Source organism: Homo sapiens, chromosome 13 (genome assembly GCF_000001405.40).
Source record: "Homo sapiens chromosome 13, GRCh38.p14 Primary Assembly".
Classification (NCBI taxonomy): domain Eukaryota; kingdom Metazoa; phylum Chordata; class Mammalia; order Primates; family Hominidae; genus Homo; species Homo sapiens.
This window is the reverse complement of record NC_000013.11, coordinates 74,473,305-74,497,602: the sequence shown is the minus strand read 5'-3', so window position 1 is coordinate 74,497,602 and position 24,298 is coordinate 74,473,305. Positions and strand designations below refer to the sequence as shown.

The 24,298-nt window shown below is 36.5% G+C and overlaps 1 long non-coding RNA gene across 1 annotated transcript; it reads left to right on the top strand.

Annotated features, from left to right (window-relative positions):
• Positions 1-18,463: 18,463 nt before the first annotated feature.
• Positions 18,464-23,563, top strand: LOC107987191 (uncharacterized). The gene is made up of 2 exons (XR_001750033.1): positions 18,464-18,494; positions 23,402-23,563. It is a non-coding gene; the product is annotated as an uncharacterized LOC107987191 (long non-coding RNA).
• Positions 23,564-24,298: the final 735 nt, after the last annotated feature.

The following is a 24,298-nucleotide window of genomic DNA, read 5'->3' as shown; positions in this document are numbered from 1 at the left end:
TACGTAGAGAAACTTATTTTAAATCTTACACTGAAAGGCAAAGGGAAAGCCAAACAGTTTTGAAAGAATGTATTTGGAGTACTCACACCGTCTGATTTTAAGACTTTCTATAAAGCTTCAGTAATCAAGGCAGTGTGGAACTGGCTAAAGTATAAGCACATAAATCATTCAAGCAGAACAAATTATCTAGAAATAGACCCACACTTTTTGTCAAAGGTCCACGCCAATTCAATGGAGAAAAAATACTCTTTTCAAAAGTGATGGAAGAAGTGTATATTCATGTCTTAGTCAGTTCCGTCTACTGAGAACATTCTACAGACCAGGTGTTTTCAACAGAAGACATTTGTTTCTCTCAATTCTGGAGGCTGGGAAGTCCAACATCAAAGTGTGCTAGAAGATTTGATTCCTAGAGAGAGCCCTCTTCTTGGCTTGCAGAAGGCTGCCTTCTTGCTATGTCTTCACATGGTGAGAAGAGGGAGCAAGCTCTGGTCTCTCTTCCTCTTTTTGTAAGAACACTCAGCCAGGCATGGTGGTTCACACCTGTAATCCCAGCACTTTGGGAGGCCAAGGCAGGCAGATCACCTCAGGTCAGGAATTCAAGACAAGCCTGGCCAACATGGTGAAACCTAATCTGTACTAAAACTACAAAAATTAGCCAGAGGTGCATGCCTGTAATCCCAGCTACTAGGAAGGCTGAGCCATGAGAATCACTTGAATCCAGGAGGTGGACGTTGCAGTGAGCTGAAATCGCTCCACTACACTCCAGCCTAGGTGACAGAGGGAGACCCCATCTCAAACAAAACACTACTCGCATCGTGAGGGGGCCCCATACTCATTATCTCACCTAAACCTAATCACCTCTCAAAGGCCCCACCTTCAAATACCATCACATTGAGGGATCAAATATTCAGTCTATAACAATCCATATCCCCCTCAAAAAAAGAACCTTGATACCTAAACTAAACACTCATAAAAGGATTAACATAAAATATGTCACAGATTTAAATGTAAAACTTAAAAACATAAATCTAATATAAAACACACGAGAAAAAATTTTATGACCTGGGAATAGGCTTGTATCTAGAATATATTTTTTATACTCTCCAAGCTCAATAATAAGAAATCAACAACTCAAGTTGTAAAAAAAAAAAAAAAAAAGAGTAAAAGACTTGAAAAAGTACTTTATCAAAGAAGGTATTGTGATGGCAATAAGTAGATGAAAAGATGTTGAACATCCTTAGCCATTAGAAAAATACAAATTAAAACTATTTTGAATACCACTACAGATCTATTAGAATGACCAAATATTTTTCTGTCTTGCATTGAATTTTTTTCTTTTTGTGAGATATATTATACATACAAAAGAGTGTAAAAAGCATTTGTATACCGTTCAAGGAAAAATAAGAAAATACACTACCCTGTCACCACCCCCTGACCCAGGTTAAAATTAGGATGTTCCAGAACCTTAGAAGCCCCTCTTCTTTCCCTATCCAATTATATTTTCTTTTTTTTTATTATTATACTTCAAGTTCTAGGGTACATGTGCACAACGTGCAGGTTTGTTGCATATGTATACATGTGCCATGTCGGTGTGCTGCACAATTAACTCCTCATTTATATTAGGTATATCTCCTAAAGCTATCCCTCCCCCCTCCCCCAACCCCATAGCAGGCCCTGGTGTGTGATATTCGCCTTCCTGTGTCCAAGTGTTTTCATTGTTCAGTTCCCACCTATGAGTGAGAATATGTGGTGTTTGGTTTTTTGTCCTTGCGATAGTTTGCTGAGAATGATGGTTTCCAGCTTCATCCGTATCCCTACAAAGGACATGAACTCATCCTTTTTATGGCTGCATAGTATTCCATGGTGTATATGTGCCACATTTTCTTAATCCAGTCTATCATTGATGGACATTTGGGTTGGTTCCAAGTCTTTGCTATTGTGAATAGTGCCACAATAAACATACATGTGCATGTGTCTTTATAGCAGCATGATTTATAATCCTTTGTGTATATACTCAGTAATGGGATGGCTGGGTCAAATGGTATTTCTAGTTCTAGATCCCTGAGGAATCACCACACTGTCTTCCACAATGGTTGAACTAGTTTACACTCCCACCAACAGTGTAAAAGTGTTCCTATTTCTCCACATCCTCTCCAGCACCTGTTGTTTCCTGACTTTTTAATGATCACCATTCTAACTGGTGTGAGATGGTATGTCATTGTGGTTTTGATTTGCATTTCTCTGATGGCCAGTGATGATGAGCATTTTTTCATGTGTCTGTTGGCTGCATAAATGTCTTCCTTTGAGAAGTGCCTGTTCGTATCTTTTGCCCACTTTTTGATGGGGTTATTTGTTTTTTTCTTGTAAATTTGTTTGAGTTCTTTGTAGATTCTGGATATCAGCCCTTTGTCAGATGAGTAGATTGCAAAAATTTTCTCCCATTCTGTAGGTTGCCTGTTCACTCTGATGGTAGTTTCTTTTGCTGTGCAGAAGCTCTTTAGTTTAATTAGATCCCATTTGTCAATTTTGGCTTTTGTTGCCATTGCTTTTGGTGTTTTAGACATGAAGTCCTTGCCCATGCCTATGTCCTGAATGGTAATGCCTAGGTTTTCTTCCAGGGTTTTTATGGTTTTAGGTCTAACATTTAAGTCTTTAATCCATCTTGAATTAATTTTTGTATAAGGTGTAAGGAAGGGATCCAGTTTCAGCTTTCTACATATGGCTAGCCAGTTTTTCCAGCACCATTTATTAAATAGGGAATCCTTTCCCCATTTCTTTTTTTTGTGAGGTTTGTCAAAGATCAGATGGTTGTAGATCTGTGGTATTATTTCTGAGGCCTCTGTTCTGTTCCATTGGTCTATATCTCTGTTCTGGTACCAGTACCATGCTGTTTTGTTTTACTATAGCCTTGTAGTATAGTTTGAAGTCAGGTAGCATGATTCCTCCAGCTTTGTTCTTTTTTTTTTTTTTTTTTTTTTTTTTTGAGACGGAGTCTCGCTGTCGCCCAAGTTGGAGTGCAGTGGCGCGATCTCGGCTCACTGCAGGCTCCGCCCCCCAGGGTTCATGCCATTCTCCTGCCTCAGCCTTTTGAGTAGCTGGGACTAGAGGTGCCCGCCACCTCACCCGGCTAATTTTTTGTATTTTTAGTAGAGACAGGGTTTCACCATGTTAGCCAGGATGGTCTCGATCTCCTGACCTCGTGACCCGCCCACCTCGGCCTCCCAAAGTTCTGGGATTACAGGTGTGAGCCACCGCGCCCAGCCCAGCTTTGTTCTTTTGGTTTAGGATTGTCTTGGCAATGTGGACCCTTTTCTCATTCCATATGGACTTCAAAGTAGTTTTTTCCAAGTCTGTGAAGAAAGTCACTGGTAGCTCCATGAGGGTGGCATTGAATCTATAAATTACCTTGGGCAGTATGGCCATTTTCATGATATTGATTCTTCCTATCCATGAGCATGGAATGTTCTTCCATTTGTTTGTGTCCTCTTTTATTTCCTTGAGCAGTGGTTTGTAGTTCTCCTTGAAGAGGTTCTTCACATCCCTTGTAAGTTGGATTCCTAGGTATTTTATTCTCTTTGAAGCAATTGTGAATGGGAGTTCACTCCTGATTTGGCTCTCTGTTTGTCTGTTATTGGTGTATAAGAATGCTTTTGATTTTTGCACATTGATTTTGTATCCTGAGACTTTGCTGAAGTTGCTTATCAGCTTAAGGAGATTTGGGGCTGAGACAATGGGGTTTTCTAAATATACAGTCATGTCATCTGCAAAGAGGGACAATTTGACTTCCCCTTTTCCTAATTGAATACCCTTTATTTATTTCTCCTGCCTGAGTGTCCTGGCCAGAACTTCCAATACTATGTTGAATAGGAGTGATGAGAGAGGGCATCCCTGTCTTGTGCCAGTTTTCAAAGGGAATGCTTCCAGTTTTTGCCCATTCACTATGATATTGGCTGCGGGTTTCTCATAAATAGCTCCTATTATTTTTAGATATGTCCCATCAATACCTAATTTATTGAGAGTTTTTAGCATGAAGGGCTTCTGAATTTTGTCAAAGGCCTTTTCTGCATCTATTGAGATAAGCATGTGGTTTTTTTTCATTGGTTCTCTTTATATGCTGCATTACATTTATTGATTTGTGTATATTGAACCAGCCTTGCATCCCAGGGATGAAGCCCACTTGATCATGGTGGATAAGCTTTTTGATGTGCTGCTGGATTCGGTTTGCCAGTATTTTATTGAGGATTTTTGCATTGATCTTCATCAGGGATATTGTCTAAAATTCTCTTTTTTTGTTGTGTCTCTGCCAGGCTTTGGTATCAGGATGATGCTGGCCTCATAAAATGAGTTAGGGAGGAGTCCCTCTTTTTCTATTGATTGGAATAGTTTCAGAAGGAATGATACCAGCTCCTCCTTGTACCTCTAGTAGAATTTGGCTGTGAATCCATCTGGTCCTGGACTTTTTTTGGTTGGTAGGCTATTAATTATTGCCTCAATTTCAGAACCTGTTATTGGTCTATTCAGGGATTCAACTTCTTCCTGGTTTAGTCTTGAGAGGGTGTATGCGTCCAGGAATTTATCCATTTCTTCTAGATTTTCTAGTTTATTTGCATAGAGGTGTTTATAGTATTCTCTGATGGTAGTTTGTAATTCTGTGGGATCAGCGGTGATATCCCCTTTGTCATTTTTTATTGCATCTATTTTATTCTCTCTTTTCTTCTTTATTAGTCTTGCTAGCAGTCTATCAATTTTGTTGATCTTTTCAAAAAACCAGGATTTAAAGCAGTGTGTAGAGGGAAATTTATAGCACTAAATGCCCACAAGAGAAAGCAGGAAAGATCTAAAATTGACACCCTAACATCACAATTAAAAGAACTAGAGAAGCAAGAGCAAACACATTCAAAAGCTAGCAGAAGGCAAGAAATAACTGAGATCAGAGTAGAATGACCAAATTTTTAAAAATCTCACAATAACATGTGCTGGGGAGGATGAAGTGCATTTGGAACTTCTCACATTGCTGGTTATGAACTGAATGTTTGTATTACCCAATCCAAATTCATATGATGAAGCCCTAATGCCAATATGGCTGTATTTGGAGATGGTTGGGGCCTCCAAGGAAGAAATTAAGGTTGAATGAATTCATAAGGGTGTTGCCTGATCCAACGGGACTATTATCTCTTAAGAAGAGACACCAGGCAGCTCTCTCTTTCTTTCTCCACTTGTGAGGATACACCTAGAAGGTAGCTGTCTGCAAGCCAGGAAGAGAGCCCTCGTCAGAATCCAAATTGGGCAGAACCTTGAACTTGGACTCCCAGACTTCAGAACTGTGAAAAAAAATAAACTTCTGCTATTTAAGACACCAGTCTGTGGTATACTGTGTTATGGGAGCCTGAGCTGACTAATACATGGTCATGATATAAAATGGTGCAGCCACTTCGGGAAACAGTTTTGGCTGTATCTTACAAAGTAAAATGTACTCTTACCATGTGACCCAATGATTCTACTCTTAGGTGTTTACATCCTAGAGAAATGGAAAAGTTATGCCATATAAAATACCCATGTATGAATGATTATAACAGCTCTATTCATACTGGTTCAAAGTTGGAAATAACCCAAATATCCTTCAAACAATGAATGGATGAACAAACTGGTACATCTGTGCAATGGAATACTACTCAGCAATAAAAAGGAACATGCCATGTATACACCCAACATCACGGATGAATCAAAACGTTAAGCTCTCTAAAAGAAGCCAGTTTCCATATGTTACATACTACTAATATATGATTCCACTTATATGTAAAAAGCATATAAATGCTGAAAAGGTCAAAAGCATAGTAACAGGAAACAGATCAGTACTTGCCAGGGATTAGGGGAGGCTAAGACTACAAAGAGGCCATATGGGAGTGACGGAACTGTTCTGTGTTCTGATTGTGGGGGTAGGTATGGTAATCCATACATGTGATAAAACTCTACACCCCAGATGCATCAATAAATAAGGCAATTTAACTCTATGTTAACTATTGAAATAAATATAATTCCATCGCTAACAATTTGTGGTAGATATTATGGGTACTTAGTAATATCTTAATCTCTTCTCCTTTGGACGTGAAGATAAGACTCCTGTTAGACCATTCTATGTGGCCAATGGGCTGGGAGTGGAAGTGACATGTATTATCTACAAGAAAAAACGTAAAAGAGGTGGGAGAGAGCTCCAGATGTTTGCTACTTACACTGAGAAAGGTTGCATGTTCCAGATGATGCCATTTTAACATCATGGAGCCTCCATCAGCCAGGGTACATGAGTGACTGTAGATCAGAGACATCTCCCCTCCACCCTGCCAATCCATTATACATTTAAAATGAGAGTAGAAAGAACATTTGTTAGATGTAAAGCCAATGAATTGCCTTGCTTAATATAGAAATTATTCATGCAAGTTGACTGCTTCTGTTACAAACACCTAAAACATGTCACATTGGCTTGGCAGTCCTGTGTCAGCAGGAAAAAGAAAAAAGATATCAGAGGCTCCAGTGACAAAACATTAAATTAAAATGATGCCTAATGTATATAACTCATAAAACAGACAGCATACCCAATGTGCTTGTGGCTCTAGAACAGTGATTCTCAAATGTGCAATTTTTGCTACAAAGGGGACATTGGTAATGTCTGGAGATATTTTTGATTGTCACGATTGGGAGGGTGCTAGTGGATAGAGGTTTGAGATGCTGCTAAATTTCCTACAATGCCCGGGATAACCCCTGACAATAAAGAATGTTCCTGCCCAGATGTCAATGTGGTTGAGAGACTCTGGTCTTAAAGAAGACATTGGAAAAAGACATTGCTACTGTCTATATTTGTCAAGATACTGCAAAATAAAGAGAAAAAACTCAACTAAGGAGATTCACAGCCGAATTCTACTAGAGGTACAAAGAGGAACTGGTACCATTCCTTCCAAAACTATTCCAAAAAATAGAAAAAGAGGGACTCCTCCCTAACTCATTTTATGAGGCCAGTATCATCCTAATAGCAAAACATGGCAGAGACACAACAAAAAAAGAAAATTTCAGGCCAATATGCCTGATGAACATGGATGCAAAAATCCTCCATAAAATGCTGTCAAACCGAATCCAGCAGCACATCAAAAAGCTTATCCACAATGATCAAGTTGGCTTCATTCCTGGGATGCAAGGCTGGTTCAAGATACACAAATCAATAAACGTAATCCATCACAGAAACAGAACCAGTGACAAAAACTACATGATTATCTCAATAGATGCAGAAAAGGCCTTTGGTAAAATTCAACACCCCTTCATGCTAAAAACTCTCAATAAGCTAGGTATTGATGGAACGTATCTCAAAATAATAAGAGCTGTTTATGACAAACCCACAGCCAATATCATACTGACTGGGCAAAAGCTGGAAGCATTCCCTTTGAAAACCAGCACAGGACAAGGATGCCCTCTCTCACCACTCCTGTTCAACATAGTGTTGGAAGTTCTGGCCAGGGCAATCAGGCAAAAGAAAGAAATAAAGAGTATTCAAATAGGAAGAGAGGCAAATTGTCTCTGTTTGCAGATGACATGATTGTATATTTAGAAAACCCTATCATCTTAGCCCCAAATCTCCTTAAGCTGATAAGCAACTTCAGCAAAGTCTCAGGATACAAAATCAATATGCAAAAATCACAAACATTCTTTACACCAAAAATAGACAAACAGAGAGCAAAATCATGAGTGAACTCCCATTCACAATTGCTTCAAAGAGAATAAAATACCTGGGAATACAACTTACAAGATGTGAAGAACCTCTTCAAGGAGAACTAGAAACCACTGCTCAAGGAAATCATAGAGGACACAAACAAATGGGAAAAAAATCCATGCTCATGGATAGGAAGAATTAATATTGTGAAAATGGCCATAGTGCCCAAAATAATTTGTAGATTCAATGCTATCCCCATCAAGCTGCCATTGACTTTCTTCACAGAATTAGAAAAAAACTACTTTAAATTTCATATGGAACCAAAAAACAGCCTGTATAGCCAAGACAATCCTAAGCAAAAAGAACAAAGCTGGAGGCATCACACTACCTTACTTCAAAGAAGTATACTACAAGGCTACAGTAACCCAAACAACACGGTTCTGGTACCAAAACAGATATATAGACCAATGGAACAGAACAGAGGCCTCAGAAATAATGCCACACATCTACAACCATCTGATCTTTGACAAACCTGACAAAAACAAGCAATGGGGAAAGGATTCCCTATTGAATAAATGGTGTTACGAAAACTGGCTAGCCATATGCAGAAAACTGAAACTGGACCCTTCCTTACACCTTATACAAAAATTAATTCAAGATGGATTAAAGACTTAAATGTTAGATCGAAAACCATAAAAACCCTAGAAGAAAACCTAGGCAACACCATTCAGGACATAAGCATGGGCAAGGACTTCATAACTAAAACACTAAAAGCAATGGCAACAAAAGCCAAAATCGACAGATGCAATCTAATTAAACTAACGAGCTTCTGCACAGCAAAAGAAACTACTATCAGAGTGAACAGGCAACCTACAGAATGGGAGAAAATTTTTGCAAGTCTATCCATCTGACAAAGGGCAATCAGGCAAGAGAATATCCAGAATCTACAAGGAACTTAAACAAATTTACAAGAAAAAAAAAAAAAAAAAAAACAACCCCATCAAAAAGTGGGTAAAGGATATGAACGGACACTTGTCAAAAGAAGACATTTATGCAGCCAATAAACATATGAAAAAAAAAAAACTCATCATCACTGGTCATTAGAGAAATGCAAATGAAAACCACAATGAGATACCTTCTCACACCAGTTAGAATGGTGATCGTTAAAAAGTCAGGAAACAACAGATGCTGGAGAGGATGTGGAGAAATAGGAACACTTTTACACTGTTGGTGGGAGTGTAAATTAGTTCAACCATTGTGGAAGACAGTGTGGCAATTCCTCAAGGATCTAGAACTAGAAATACCATTTGACCCAGCAATCCCATTAGTGGGTATATACCCAAAGGATTATAAATCATTTTACTATAAAGACACATGCCCACGTATGTTTATTGCAGCAGTGTTCACAATAGCAAAGACTTGGAACCAACCCAAGTGACCATCAGTGATAGACTGGATAAAGAAAATGTGGCACATATACACCATGGAATACTATGCAGCCATAAAAAGGGATGAGTTCATGTCATTTGCATGGACACGGATGAAGCTGGAAACCATCATTCTCAGCAAACTAACACAGGAACAGAAAACCAAACACTTCATGTTCTCACTTATAAGTGGGAGTTGAACAATGAGAACACATGAACACAGAGAGGGTAATATCACACACTGGGGCCTGTTGGGGGGTGGTGAGGGGCTAGGGGAGGGATAGCATTACGAGAAATACCTAATGTAGATGACAGGTTGATGGGTACACCAAACCACCATGGCACGCGTCTACCTCTGTAACCTGCATGTTCTGCACGTGTATCCTAGAACTTAAATTATAATAATAATTTTTAAAAGACGAAAAAAAATGACCAAAGAGAAAGATTCCAGCAATCAAGATTTTTCAATACTGGAAGGCCAATTGCTTTGAAAGCCCAAACAGAAAGAGACAAAATTGAGAAAGATCCATTAAAACAAACCTCTTGATGCATAAATAAGCCACAGTTAAAAAATAATCAGACTGTGCATATAGCCCCCAGTAAAACCTGACAGTGGGTAAAGAGGCTCTTGGAAAAGATAAAATTAAGGGCATAGCTTTCCTCCAGAAGGGCACTATCTATTATTAAAAGAGAGAAAGCAAAAATATGTAACAAATCTGTGAAATAGTCTCAAAAAGAACTGTGGTTGTAATTTCTGGAATTTGGAAACGACTAGAATAAAAATAGATTATGTAGTAAAACTTGTGAGATTTGTAGTGCCAGAGAAGTTAAAGCTTAGACATCCCTACCAACAAAAAGATCCTATGACCTGTTGAATATTTAAAATAACCCTTAGGTTCTCAAAACTTCCTTGAGCAGGAAGTAGACAAAAAGTTCTACAGCCCCCAAGGCGTGCATATTACCCAATGCCAACTTCTAAAACTTCTGAAGTGGCCAGGAAGAATAAGAGCAAATAAACTACCAAGAATGCAAAGCTGGGGACTATAAAGTTTGAGAAATAAAGGAGCTCTTCCCAGAGATTAGAATCTGTGCCAAATCATGAAATATTCCCATTCCTGGATATACCCTAGACTGAGAATGACTGTTTGTTATTTTGGTTAACAGAGATTTTGAGAATTTCTTTTAAATGCATTATTATTACAGCAAAAACCAACATTTCCTCACCACCACCCCCAATCCTGCCACCCCGCAGTGCCTGTGCAATAGGATTTCAGAGTTGTACAGTGCAGTGATTGCTATGTCATCACTTGCTTGTAAAGCTAAAGCTTACAAGTACTTTTTTTTTATTCACAAAATAACAGGAAGAGAAAATTCATGGTGCATGCCACTATTCACCAGTTCAGTATATGTCCACAATTTAACTTTTAGGTGAAATCCAATATTTACCAGTGAAGCCCTGCCAATAGAAGAGTTTAGTACTTCCACTCTTTCACTTTTATCTTTCTCAAGTCAGGGGAGTTGGCCATGAGGGGAAACTGACAATCAGCCCCCTTTCTGGAAGATATTAGTTTCTACTGGGGTGGTGTGGAAAAAAAAAACTGTTAATCTTTCTACTGCTGCATCTGGGGCTGTTTATTAGTTTCATTTTGATAGATGGAGAGAAGATGAACAAATCACAAGATTTATTTTTCAGGGCATATTTGATAGAATCAGAGACCTTTTACCCTTCTATGTACTGTCTAAAAAAGTGAAATCAACCCAATGTGATATGATTTGATTTCCCCAGACTTTGTTAAGGAAGCTAGGTTTGATAGATAAAACTGCATCTGGCTGTTTTTTTCTTTTTTGAAACACAAGCCTAAGACAAATTCATAGATCAAAGCCTACATGAAATATAATGTATCTGGTTTTTCTTTATAAAAGATTTTCTGTTATGGTATAAATAATGTATACAGTCAGTGTGAAATGCATAAAATCTTGACAAGTTAACAAAGCAGCATCCTTGAAAAATTTATCCAGTTTCCAAAATGCACTCATAGAGAATAGCTACCCACTGTTAAAAATGGAAAAAACAAGTAACAAAGACATATTTGGAAAACATTTCTCCAAACTGCCTTTTTGCTGTCCTTGTGTTCCAAAATCAGAGAGTTGGGATTAAAGAACTCTCTCTCTACCTATCACCTAATAACTGCTTCTCATTCGAAAACTTGATAAAATTGGTAGCTACATGAGTGGGGAATTAAGTGGATAGGGAACAGAGTGGGTGGATAACTTTTTCCCTATCTCCTTGTATCTTTAGAGTTTTGAACTATGTAAATATATTATCTAAACAAAAATTAACATACAAATTTTTTTAAATAAAATAAAAGCCAACCAAATCTTATCTGATGTTATTCAGCAGGGCATTAGGTATAAGCCTGATGCACAGCATCAGGTATAAGCCTCTGGACTTTTTAGATCATTTCACACTTGCCATAGTCCTCCTGGCTGAGACCTTCTCTGGATGAGCAATTTCAGGAATGAAACTAGGTGAGAGTGTGAGCTTCACGGTCTGCAGACTATCACTGCTTTCCTTGCCATGCCATCTCTCCTTTCTCACTCTTCTCTCCTCCCCCAATTCTTCTCTCTTCTCATCTCCATGTGTTCTATAACACTAATCATTCACTTATTGGATGCTTACTATATACCTGACACCATTTTAAATGCTTTGTATTAAATACTTTAAACCTCATATAACAGTAACCCTAGGAAAAAGAGTACTATCATTAAGTATTACCATTCACAGATAAGGACACTAAGTTCAGGGAACTTAAGTCACTTGCCCAAGGTCACACAACTAGCAAATTACAAAACCAGAATTTAATATCAAGTCCTCTGCTCAGAATGTCTGCACGCAAGCATTTGCAATGCTGCCTAGTGAAAGTTAATCTTATCAATGGGTTCTTTTATTCACAAAAAGTATATTTAGTGGATACACTTCTCCAGGGAGAAGTAAGTAGGTGTCTTTTCTTTTATTAGTATTTGTTCCATTGGACCCCAAAAGAATCTTCCAGGATAATTTATATTCCCTTTTTCAAACTTCAAGACTTGAGAATGAAAATTTGAACGGCAAGGCTAGTGCAAACAGAGGCAGGATAGATAGAAGTTAGGGCGGGTGGAGGAGTTTGGAAAATGAGTCCTATTCAATTACTTGGATGTGCTGTCTCACTGGGGAGAAGTTTAGAAGGGTAGATGTCAAATCAATGAGAAAAATGAACCACTTGACTGCCTCAAAATTGGGCTGCCTTAAGGGATAGTGAGTTCCCTTTCAAGGAGGAAGGTGAGCAGGTGCTGGATCGGTTGACAGGAATGTTGTTAAGGAAACTTATGGCACAAATGTTGGAAAAAATAGCCCTGAAACTAATTGCACTTTGGGATTTAGAAATAATTCTACATTTCTTATAAAATATTTTGTCTCTTTAGAATCTTCTCAATCTGTTTTCTCATTATAATCAGTGGTCCTAATCTAGTCTGAGACTAATATCTCTACTAAACTGAGTGATTAATTAGGTACAGGAATCTTTAACGTAAGTCCCCTCTTTTGTAATTCTCAAAATACTGGGATACTATTCAGAGGTTGTCCGTGCTCTACACATTTACTGATGTATTATAACTGGATTCAATTATCTTTGTGTTTCAAAGAGACATTACTTCACCATTCTAAAATAGTATTTATGGATTTAAAATAATTAATAGCTCCCCATTATATATGGCCACCAAATACTTTAGTTGTGCAAATCAGATTTAAATCACAATTGTTGCATATAATCAGATGAAACATGAAAAGAAACATTTAACTAACAGGTTCTAAAAGAGTATTTTAAACTGTATTAAGTTTTAAAAATGTATTAACTATCATTACAAAATTGTACTATAAATCCTTAATTACTTCAAAGGAATGAAGATTTTAAAACTTACCAAGGAGCTGCAACTACCTATCAAATTAATATTTTTGCTTCAGTTGAATGAAGAAACAAAAAGGAAAGAACTTCTCCCCTTTTAATGAAAGATTCATACTTAATAGCATGAATATAATATAGGCACATTGTTTGTAGACTTTTTTATCTTTGTTATATTTTGTTATTTTGATTTGTCAGCACCTAATATATATTTGCTGTCATATAATCAAAATTATTTCAATTATATCTAAGAAATGCTATTATATAAATTACTGGAAAGTGGCCTAAATTACAGTGTACAATTAGGTCTTTCAGTTTCCAAAATAATTCCTTTAAAGCAAGAATCCTTTAAAGATCAAAGGATTTTTGATCCTATTTCCCTTATAGTAGGATTCCAGCTACTTTCCATTTATAGCCAACTTTTCCAGGACTATCATATAAGACTAAAGATATTAGTAGCTTTGGTGCTTAAGTTGTTGTAATTATCTAATGGAGTTTCTTTCCTATTTCTATTTCTACGCTGAATCTTTTGATTTTGTCAAAATTGACTCCATATTGCAATATCTTAATTTCAAACTTGCTGCCAAAGCTGAATCAACTAGATGGCCTACATTATCAGAATTTACTCCTGTGAAAGGAGAAAGCTATCTTTCCTTACCTCTTTCATCACCAGTATAACTTGATTCATATTCATTTGAACACTCTGAGAAGGATGTCACCGTTGTGTAAACCAGCTGCCTATCAATGGAGGCCTAATCTGTTTTTCAGCTTCTTTTGGAGAGAATGGAAGACTAACAGGAGTAAAATAAATATGACTTGAATACTGAAAATAGAGTTTGCACAGAGATATTACCAACAAAGTGTTCTTTTAATGCAAGATCATTACAAAAATTCTTCAAAAAACCCAAACTTGGACTATTTACTTTATATTCATCTACTGCAATATTTTACATTTAAAAGGCTCTCTACATATGTATTGTTATGTGTTGATCCATCTTTTCTTTAGGTAAAAAATTGTCAGGTTAACTTTTTAAAGCAACGTGAAAACTGTTGGAAAGCATATGTTTCAATTAAACATGACTCAGAGTAGAATTTTACAGCCGTGAGTACCAGGGCCATTAAGCATTTTATGTTTCCTTTGCTCATTATCCTATAATTCATTATCCTAGTTGTATGTGCAAATTACTGATACTGGTTAAAATATTTACTTCTTTATTCATTGATAATTTAATTCTCCTCTAACTTTAATGTGGATACAGATATACATAATATATAGATTATATATAGTATTTTCCCCTTATCTGTGGAGATATATTTTAAGATCTCCAGTAGATGCTTGAAATCACAGCTAATACCTACATATACTGTTTTTAGAAACCTACATATACTGTTTTTATCTATACATACGTATCTATGATTAACTTTAATTTATAAATTAGGTACAATAAGAGATTAGCAACAATAATAACAAAATAGAACAATCATCATAGTACACTGTAATAAAGGTTATGTGACTGTAGTTTCTCTCTCTCTCTCTCTCTCTGGTTCTTCCAAAATATCTTACTGTGCTGTACTTACCTTTCTTCTTGTGATCTGTTGATATAATAACCAACATGACTGCTACATAACTAAGGGATGGGTAGGACAGACAGTGTTGGGTAGTGGATAGGACAGACAGTGTTGACACATGGGACAAAGGGATGATTTACATCCTGTACGTCTGCCCAGGACATAAATCGTCCTTCCGTTCAGTGTATCCCACAAAGTGGGACAGCATAAGATTTTATCACACTACTCAGAAGTCACAATAAAAAACTCTCAGAGTCTCTAAGAGTCTCCATGACATGGAGTCAGAAGAGTCCTGGTTGACAGATATTTAAAGGCTGTGAAATTAATCTTGAAAGACAGATTTATAGAAATATTGAGCTCAACTTTATTCTAGCTGAATCAAAATTACATATGTTACTTGATGTATTTCAAATAGGGTTGTAGCTGAGCATCCACCCCCAATGTAAAATGCCACCTCCAGCAACACTTACGTAGAGCCTTGACCTAAGCATAGGCTCCCCTCATTGCCTCTCACTTCTCACTTTTTGAATTCCTATTCTCTTCATAGCTACTCTTCTTTTATTCTGTAATTTCTTCATTATTTATTAATTTGTTATTTATTTATAAATTTATAAATTTATTATTTATTCAGCTAATAGACATTTTTTAAACACCTGCTTTGTGCTCAGCATGATACAGGACATGATCATGAGAATGAATAGCTGATGAAGGGAGAAGGTGAAAGTCTTTGATAATCAAGAAGCTCAAAATGCTGAATTTATAGAATAAATAAAGAATAAAGCAGCACCGTTCAAAATATGGACCACATATTGGTGCAATGCAAGATCAGTACAGAATTTGAAAGTAAGCTCCTAGAAACTTTTATAGCACTTTGACATGCTCCAATATCCAAGTGTGTGTGACCAATGCACTCATCTTGTTAAATAGGATATGGATCAGTTTGGTGTGGTTGAATTCACATGGTTAGCTGCCTGTGATATGAGCTATGTGCCAGTCATGCATGGTAAGACAGCACGTCAATGATACTTCAGTGATACTTCAGAAGAAAGTTTAAGAATCACTGGCTTACAAGCAATACAAAACAACCCTCAGGCTGCAAAATCTCTTTTGCTTTCAACTAATCCACGTTCCCTAATGACTTTCAACAACTGATCTGATGTTTGAGATGCAGAGAAAGAGAATAGACTACATAAAAGGCAAGACACCAACCATTTTTGCCATTTTACCAACAATTAATTTCAGGTGAGATACCATAGCATTCTAGATCTACTATAATCCCACTTACTAGAAAAAGTGACTACATAGTAATAACCAAGAATAGAAATCTACTTTGGATCCAGTGTGTTTTAGATATACTCTATGTCTATGAATGTGCTTATTTTGATGTTTATTCATCAAACAAACCCTAATAAGGAAATTTTTTCTCCTCCTCATAGTTTGAAGTCAAAAGTTTCATCTATAAATTGTTATTAGGGCATTCTTTGTTCAATAATCACAAGAATTAACTACTAATAGTGGGTATTTGTCAGTCTTTTTTTTCTGAGGGATGGGGTTTATATATAGCTATGGTTTGGATGAGATTTGTCCCCATCAAAACTTATGTTAAATTTTGATCCCCTATGTGGCAGTGTTAGGACATGGGGCCTAGTGGGAAGTGTTTGAGTCATGGGGGAAAAAGCCCTCATGAATAGATTAATGCCATCTCTCAGGAGTGAGTCCTTACTCTTGTGGACTGGATTAGTTACCAAAAAAGCAGGTTGTTTCTTCTTGCCTTTGGTCTCTTTGCACACATCATGAGTTGAAACAGCACAAGACCCTCATCAGATGGGCTTCCTGGTCTTGAACTTTCCAGGCACCAGAATCATGAGCCAAATATACCTTTTTTCTTTATGAATTAACCTGCCATGGGTATTTTGTTATAGCAACACTAAACAGATTGACATAAATATCTTTTGTCTATAAAGGTAAAAATTCTCAAAGTTATCACTTAGTCCTCCTGTTCTTTAACGATTCTGAACACAAATACACACAAATGTAGAAAGTATATGTTGTTCAATATGCTTCCTATGTAAAATTCCTGAGATTAAATAGAAGTTATATTTTCTTTCAATCATCAAAACTGTTGCAGGCATGCTATATGCCAGTTGCTATAGAAGGCATTTGGGGGAAATGTAGAAATGACGTTGTTCCTATTCCACAAAAGCTCAATGGTCTCATGTGGGAGACAGACACATATAAATAATGACAATCAAACATGACACTATGATGGAGGTGCACACAAAATGCTATCTATAAGCAGTCCTTGCTTTGCACAATAGTGTAGGGCCATGAAAATGACTGCATGCTGAAATTATGAAAAACAATCTTAATAATCAAAACAAAACAAAACAAAAACTACAATTTTTCTATGAGCTTTACATTTTTTCTCAAAACATTAAAACTGTCTTACTGTTAGTTCTAAACAAACAAGAGAATGAAAAATGGTAAAATCAATATTTCTTTAGTCCACTGAAATTTTAAATATTGGAAACTTTGAGAATTAAAGTGTCTCATATTATTGTAAAAAAAAACCTTAAGAGTAGTTTGAACACTGTTTTCTGTCTTCTCATTTCCTTCTTCTCATCACATTCCCTTCTAAGGGAAATCAGCTTCCAACACTTAACCTTTTATGCTTTCAGAGTCAAGAAATATCCCAAGAATTTTTTAATGTGAAGTTTTTTTGCCAATGTCACACTTCTACTGGGACATCTTCATCCTTTCATCACAACCACTTTCCTCATTTATGTCAATAAATTCACCTTCACTAAGTTTCTCTGGCTGCACATCTGGAGTCTTTCAAACAGTGGCAGTATCAACATTCCTACAGGCAACTATTTCTCCTATAACTCCATTTATGTCCAATTCAAATTTCACTTTTAGCATTATGAGTTTTCTTTTTTTGCTACACTTTCATCATTGTTGACCAATTTTCTCTTTCAATTATCTTTATTTCTAAAATATCACATGGGGCTATCATTGGGAAGCAACACAACTTGCTGTCTGTGCATGAACTGAGTAACAGATGCGTAAGGACCAATTACCAACATATTTTGAAGGAAGCAATATGATTGGTCACCAGTCATGATGTGCATATATTATTTCAGTAGTGATTTTTGCACTGAAGAGCTAGCAGCAAAGTTTGTGCTTTATATGATTATTATAGTTAATATACCCTTGTAACTAAATTTTGAATTGAGTTGCTGGATGACTGGTGTCATGTAACTAAACCATAGTAACTGAATTCACACATAGTGAAATGTTGAAAGTCAAGGACTGCCTGTATATAAAGAAATGAAAATATTAAAAAATGAATAAGTAGATGTATGGCACAATGAGGGATGGCCAGTTAGCCTAGCTGAAACCAATGCTGCAGGAGGAAAATGGGGTCATGCAGAAAATGTAGAGATAAGGCTTGAGAAATAGTTTCAGACAAGATTGTGAATGTTCTTTAGAATAAAATTACCATGTAACCATTGCTGCCCTGCCTAGAAAGAAATTACTCTTACTTTATCCATATCTTATCTAGTTCTTTCCCCATTCTCACCAAAGGTTACTGATATGGTTTGGCTGTGTCCCCACCCAAATCTTATCTTGAATTCCCACACGTTGTGACAGGCACCCAGTGGGAGGTAATTGAATCACAGAGACAGGTCTTTCTTATGCTGTTCTCATGATAATAAGTCTCATGAGATTTGACAGTATTATAAGGTGGAGTTTCCCTGAACGAGCCCTCTGTCTCTTTTCCTGTCACCATCCACATAAGATGTGACTTGTCCCTCCTTGCCTTCTGCCATGATTGTGAGGACTCCCCAGCCATGTGGAACTGTAAGTCCATAAAACCTCTTTCTTTTGTAAATTGCCCAGTCTTGGGTATGTCTTTATCAGCAGCGTGAAAATGGACTAATAGTTACCCAGGTATTAAAACTGCTGTCCCTGTGTATGATGGTTAATTTCACATGTCAACTTGACTGAGCCATAGGATGCCCAGATAGCTTCTTAAACATAATTTCTGGAAGTGTCTGTAAGAGTGTTTCTGGAAGAGATTCACATTTTCATTGGTAGACTAAAGCAGATTGTCCTCTCTAATGTAGATAGCCACCACCCAATCTGATGAAGATCTGAATAGAAGAAAAAGATGGAAGAAGGTTGAATTTACTCCCTGCCTGTCTGCTTAAGCTAGAACATCAATCCTCTTCTGCCCTTGGTGCTCCTAGTTGTCAGGCCTTCAGACACAGACTGGAATCTATACCATTGGTTCTCTGGCTTGAGAGTTTCAAGCTCCATCACTAGCTTTCCTGGGTCACCAGCTTGCAGAGAGCAGACTGTGGAACATCTAAGCCTCCATATGCATGTAATCCAATACCTCATGATAAATCTCTTCATACATAATACACACACACAAACACACACACACACACACACACACATACAGATCTGTCTCTCTAGAGAACCTTGACTAATGTAATAAGTCACCCTTTATCTTCCATTGTTTTAATGTGGTCTTCCTGTTGAATCCTAGAATGCTGGCTAACATTCATTCCTCAGTGCCAGCTTGCATGCAGCTTCCTCTTTGCAGACAGCTAGAAATGGCTGCAGGAGCCAACTCTGAGCTGCGCCAACACTTTGGTTATTGAAACTTCATTGTTTCTTCCCCCACGTAATGTAATGAAAATCACAGACCCTGGCAGTAAATGCGGTCATCTACATCTGACTCTGGACATATAGTAGAACAGTAAAAAGCCCAGTGGATTCAGTCAAGTTGTGTTTCAGTTCTTATTCTATCAATAACTTGCCTTGAGAAACTCCTTTCACTTCTCTTGGTCCCAGTGCTAAAAGGAACTCATATCTCTTAGATCTCTTACTTCTCTAAAGGCTAAATGACTACCTCTGTTTTTCATATGTTTTATCAAAAAGTATGCTTCATTTATAGGGATGCAACATAGGTGAAAAAGAAAGTTTAAAATGCCAAATGGTATACCTGCTCATGAGAATTGAAGAAAGCTCATGTGACATCCAGTTTCAGGAATAATGACTGTTTCTCCAAAACAATCTTGAAGTAGTTTTCCTTTTCCCAACAACTACCAAGTAGCTAAGTCTAGTGATATATATAGTAGTAAAGTTATCCATGAGTTCTTGATTGGTGGTAACCTTTAGTAATTCCGTAGCAATATGATACAATAGCAGCTTCCCACTACAGACTCTGATTCAGATAAAGGAATTATGGTATTTCCACAGAAGAGAACATAGTATTTGGTCCCCTAAAATTTTATTGCACTTGGTGTTAAATGGTTTAACTGTGATGCAAATACAACATTCACGTACTAAAATATATATAGTCTCAGCTAAAGGACAGAGAAAAAGAAACAGTCATGATTTAAGATAAAAAATAAGGCTTGAAGTTTTCAGAAGAAAATGAGAGGAGAAAGTCAAGTAAGTATGGGAAAAATGTGGAACAAAAATAAAGTTAACTTGAAGAATTTGCAAGAGATAGGGAAATTAAAAGCGGAAGTAGTGATGTGTGACTGAGATAGGCACTCAAAAGCTACCCGTCTGCTTTGCACTCTTTGTAGGTCTTTATGTTAGGTACCAAGATTGGAACCCTAAAAACAGAACACACAGGGCAATATCCTTGATTATATCTGAATACATATATAATGCACCTTGAAAATACAAGGGAAAGAGGTGTTTGAAACAAGCAACTTGAGTTGGATGGGTTTAGTAATCCCACATAGTGGGATAATAATAGTCATAGAACCAGAGAGACTTCTCTCTTCAAGAGCAATACTTGATTTGAGGAATTTCTCTATAATACACCATTAAAGATAGAACTTAAAGTTTGCTCATTTCCTTTTATGGTATTTCTTTTAAGCTTAAGTCTAAATACTGCTCTTCTGTTCTTCACTGGAAAGGTAGAGTCCTTGAAAATAAGATTGAGTGCCTCAGACAGCAGGAAGTAAAAGAACCACACCTCCAAATAATGTTCCACTGCATTTTTAAAATGAATTACCCTAATGCCACTATCTTTTTTTCCCTATGATCTAAGTAATAGTGGCATCTGAATTTCTCAGTTAAAATTGGCTGCACAAAATAGGGAAAGATAAACTAGAGGTCATTGTTGTTTTTATTTAACAGATTTTAATAAATAAATAAATTTTGAAATAAGGCAATTGGAAGGTTTGGCAGATTCACAAATTGGCAGTGATATTTACATTGCTTATATTCAGAATTTTTAAAAAATTGCTCCCATCTCAACAGCCTCTTGCTATTAGCATAGAAAAAAGAATAGGCAGTACCCTGGAAATCTATTAGAATTATAAAAATGCACTTATTGCAAAACTTCTGGGTGTATGCACAAAATAAACATGTAATCTTACTTCTGAGAAACTATTTTATGAATCCTCTCAATGCATTAGAATCTCTCAAGTGGCCTGAATGAGGCCTGCTAAGAGGATCATTATTGCCTCAGACCCCACAAAGGCGATTTTTTACAAGGAAAGGATAAGAAGAGATTTTCCAACCTTTAGATGCTCCACAGAAGAGACTCAACCTCTGTTTTGAGAAATAGATATTTATGACATAATAGGAAATATATATTTGGTCTCTTCCCTCAGTTCCGGATACAGAGCTCCTAAAATCCTTGTAATTTCCTGAGTGATGGGGTGCTAAGAGCATCTTTTGTTCTAATATTTGGTCTTTGACCCTGATTCCAGACACAGGAGCTTTTAAAACCTTAGGAATCTCCAAAGTGACGAATGTCCTTTGTACGCTAATGAAATGACTAGATAACATCCCTAGATAGCTTCAGGATGGCAGCCAGTCACTAGAAAAAACAAAGCATGATTGCAGGGTTAGATCTTTCAGCTTAACCCAACCAATGAAAAGGGGCTAGAGATTCAATGGCCAATGATGTAATCAGTCATGCCCACATAATGAAACCTTATTAAAAACTTTAGACAGTGGAACTCAGAAAGCTTCTAGGTTGACGAGCACATTGGGACGCTGAGAGGGGGGACTACCCAGATTGGATATGGAAGTTCCACACCCCTTCCCTATACTTTGCACTATTTATCTCTTTGTCTGTTCATTTGTATCCTTTATGATATTCTTTAAAATAAACTAGTAAACATAAGTAAAGTGTTTCCCTGAATTCTGTGACCCTTTATAGCAAATTATTGAATAAGAAGAGGGGCTTGTAAGAACCCCTGATTTGTAGACAAGTAAGATAGAAGTGTGGATAACACGGGGATCCACTAACTGAGATTGATATCTGAACTGGGGGGACAGTCTTATGGGCCTGATTCCTTCATCTCAGGGGTCTGCACTAATTTCAGGCAATTGGTATTAGAATTGAATTAAACTATAGGACACCCTCTTCGTGTCCACAGAGAACCGGAGAATTGCTTAGTTTGGAAAACCCACATGTCTTGTGTCAGAAGTGCAGTGAGTAGAAAAACAGTTTTTTCTTTTAATTTTCCATAAAAGAGACCATGAGTTGCAAAAAGCTGCCTTGAAATCAGAGTATATCACACAAGCTATGGCTGGTGTCTACATTTTGTATCCCTAATTTTACCATGCAGTTAAAAACGTCAGGTCACTCAGAAGTGCTATAATTTGTTGCTGAAAGAGATGATGATTTTTGCATTTTGAGATCATTTCTGTTGAACCCATGGCAATTATAATAATTAATCAGTATTTGGGTTACAAAATCCTCATTTCAACTCCACTAGATAGGTTTACTTGGACTAAGAAAAAAAAAAAGGCAGGTAGAAAAGTGCAGTTTTTCCTTGATATCCATGGGAGATTGATTCCAGGACCCCTTACCCCCACCCTGCAGGATACCAAAATCCAAGGATGCTCAAGTCCCTTATATAAAATGGTATCGTATTTGTATATAACCTGTGTACCTCCTTTCATATTCTTTAAATCATCTCTAGATTACTTATAATACCTAATATTATGTAAATAGTTGTTATACTATATTGCTTTTTATTTGTATTATTTATTGTTGTGAGTTTTTTCCATATATTTTTATCTGCAGTTGGTTGAATCCATGGATGCAGAACCCACAGATACAGAGGGCCAACTATAGTAGATTGGAAAAAGTCATTAAGGAAGGACAAATTTCACTCACTCATAGGAGATTAATAGAATGTCATGGAGTCATTGACTTTTTTCACCTTCATGAATCCTTCACTTGCTAGGCAGATATCCTTTTAACACTTTTTTATTGTTTGTTAATTAAGTCTGCTTCAAGATTTTCTGTAACTTGTTTTACCTCCTTAGAATTCTCACACAAATTTTATTTTGCAAAAATTACCACTTTTTTGAAATTAAAAGATATATGTTACTTTAAAATATAACATTGCATGTCTTTTCCAAACACTGCATCCAAAACAAAAGTAAAGAAAGGGCTTATCCTAGAAATTATTTTAATCTCATTTGCTTTTCCTTAAATTTGCTTCCTCATTTCAGTTCTGGTATATTATTTTCATTATAATTATTGCTTCTTTGACATTCAAATAATATCATGTCATGAATGTCATTTTTCTTACTTGGATTTATGAAATTCCTTAAGAGTTTAAACTGTGCCTTCTAATTATTTTGTCTGGCATGTAACCATAAGATAGTAGAATTGATGTTTTTAATTGCATTAAAGTATAATCTCTATGTATAAATGTACGCAAATTGTATTTGCACAGTGTTCTGAATTCTAACAAATTAAATACATCCAGGTAACCACCGATCAGATCAAGAAACAGAACACCCAGAAGCTTTTTTCCTCATCCTTCCAGTAACTTCTCCACCTCAACCAGGAGTAAACACCATCTTGACTTCCTACATTACAGATTAGTTTTGCCTGATTTTGAACCTGAAATAAATAATAGTATACACTATGGACTCTGTGTCTGGCTTTTTAAATTTGTTTATTTGTCTCTCATCATATTTGTGAGAGTTATCCATGTAGTGGCATACAGTTTCTGTTTATTAATTCTCATCTCCATAGAGCATCCTGTTGAGGGAATTAATTAATAATAAATAAATTAATAATTACTAATAAACAATTTATTTATCTCTTCCACTGTTGGTAGACATTTGACAAGTTCTGCTTTTGGCCATTTTAAATATTGCCAACATGAACATCTTTGTACATATATTTTGGTGAAAATAGGTACTCATTTTAATGGTATATATATACCTAGGTAATGACACTTCAGAGTCATGGGACATGCATATTTTCAGCTTAATAGATTCTGCCAAAGGCTTTCCAAAGTGGTTGTATCACTCTACATCCTGACAGCAGTACATGAAAGTTCAGGTTGCTCCACATCCTTGTAAACACTTGGATTTATCTGTCATTTGCTTTGTAACCATTCTCTGTGAGTGTGAGTGTGAATGTGAATGTGAATGTGTGTGTATGTCTAGTGGTGTAGCATTGTGCTTTTAATTTGCATTTCCCTCATGAATTTTTCCCAAAGTTCAGCACCTTTTCATATATTCATTGGTATTTTATATATTTATTATTATATCATATGTTTATTGGCCATTTTGATATTTTCTTTTGTGATGTACCTTAAAAACTTTTGCCTATTTTTCTGTTCAGATGTTTACCTCTTATTGATTAATAGGTA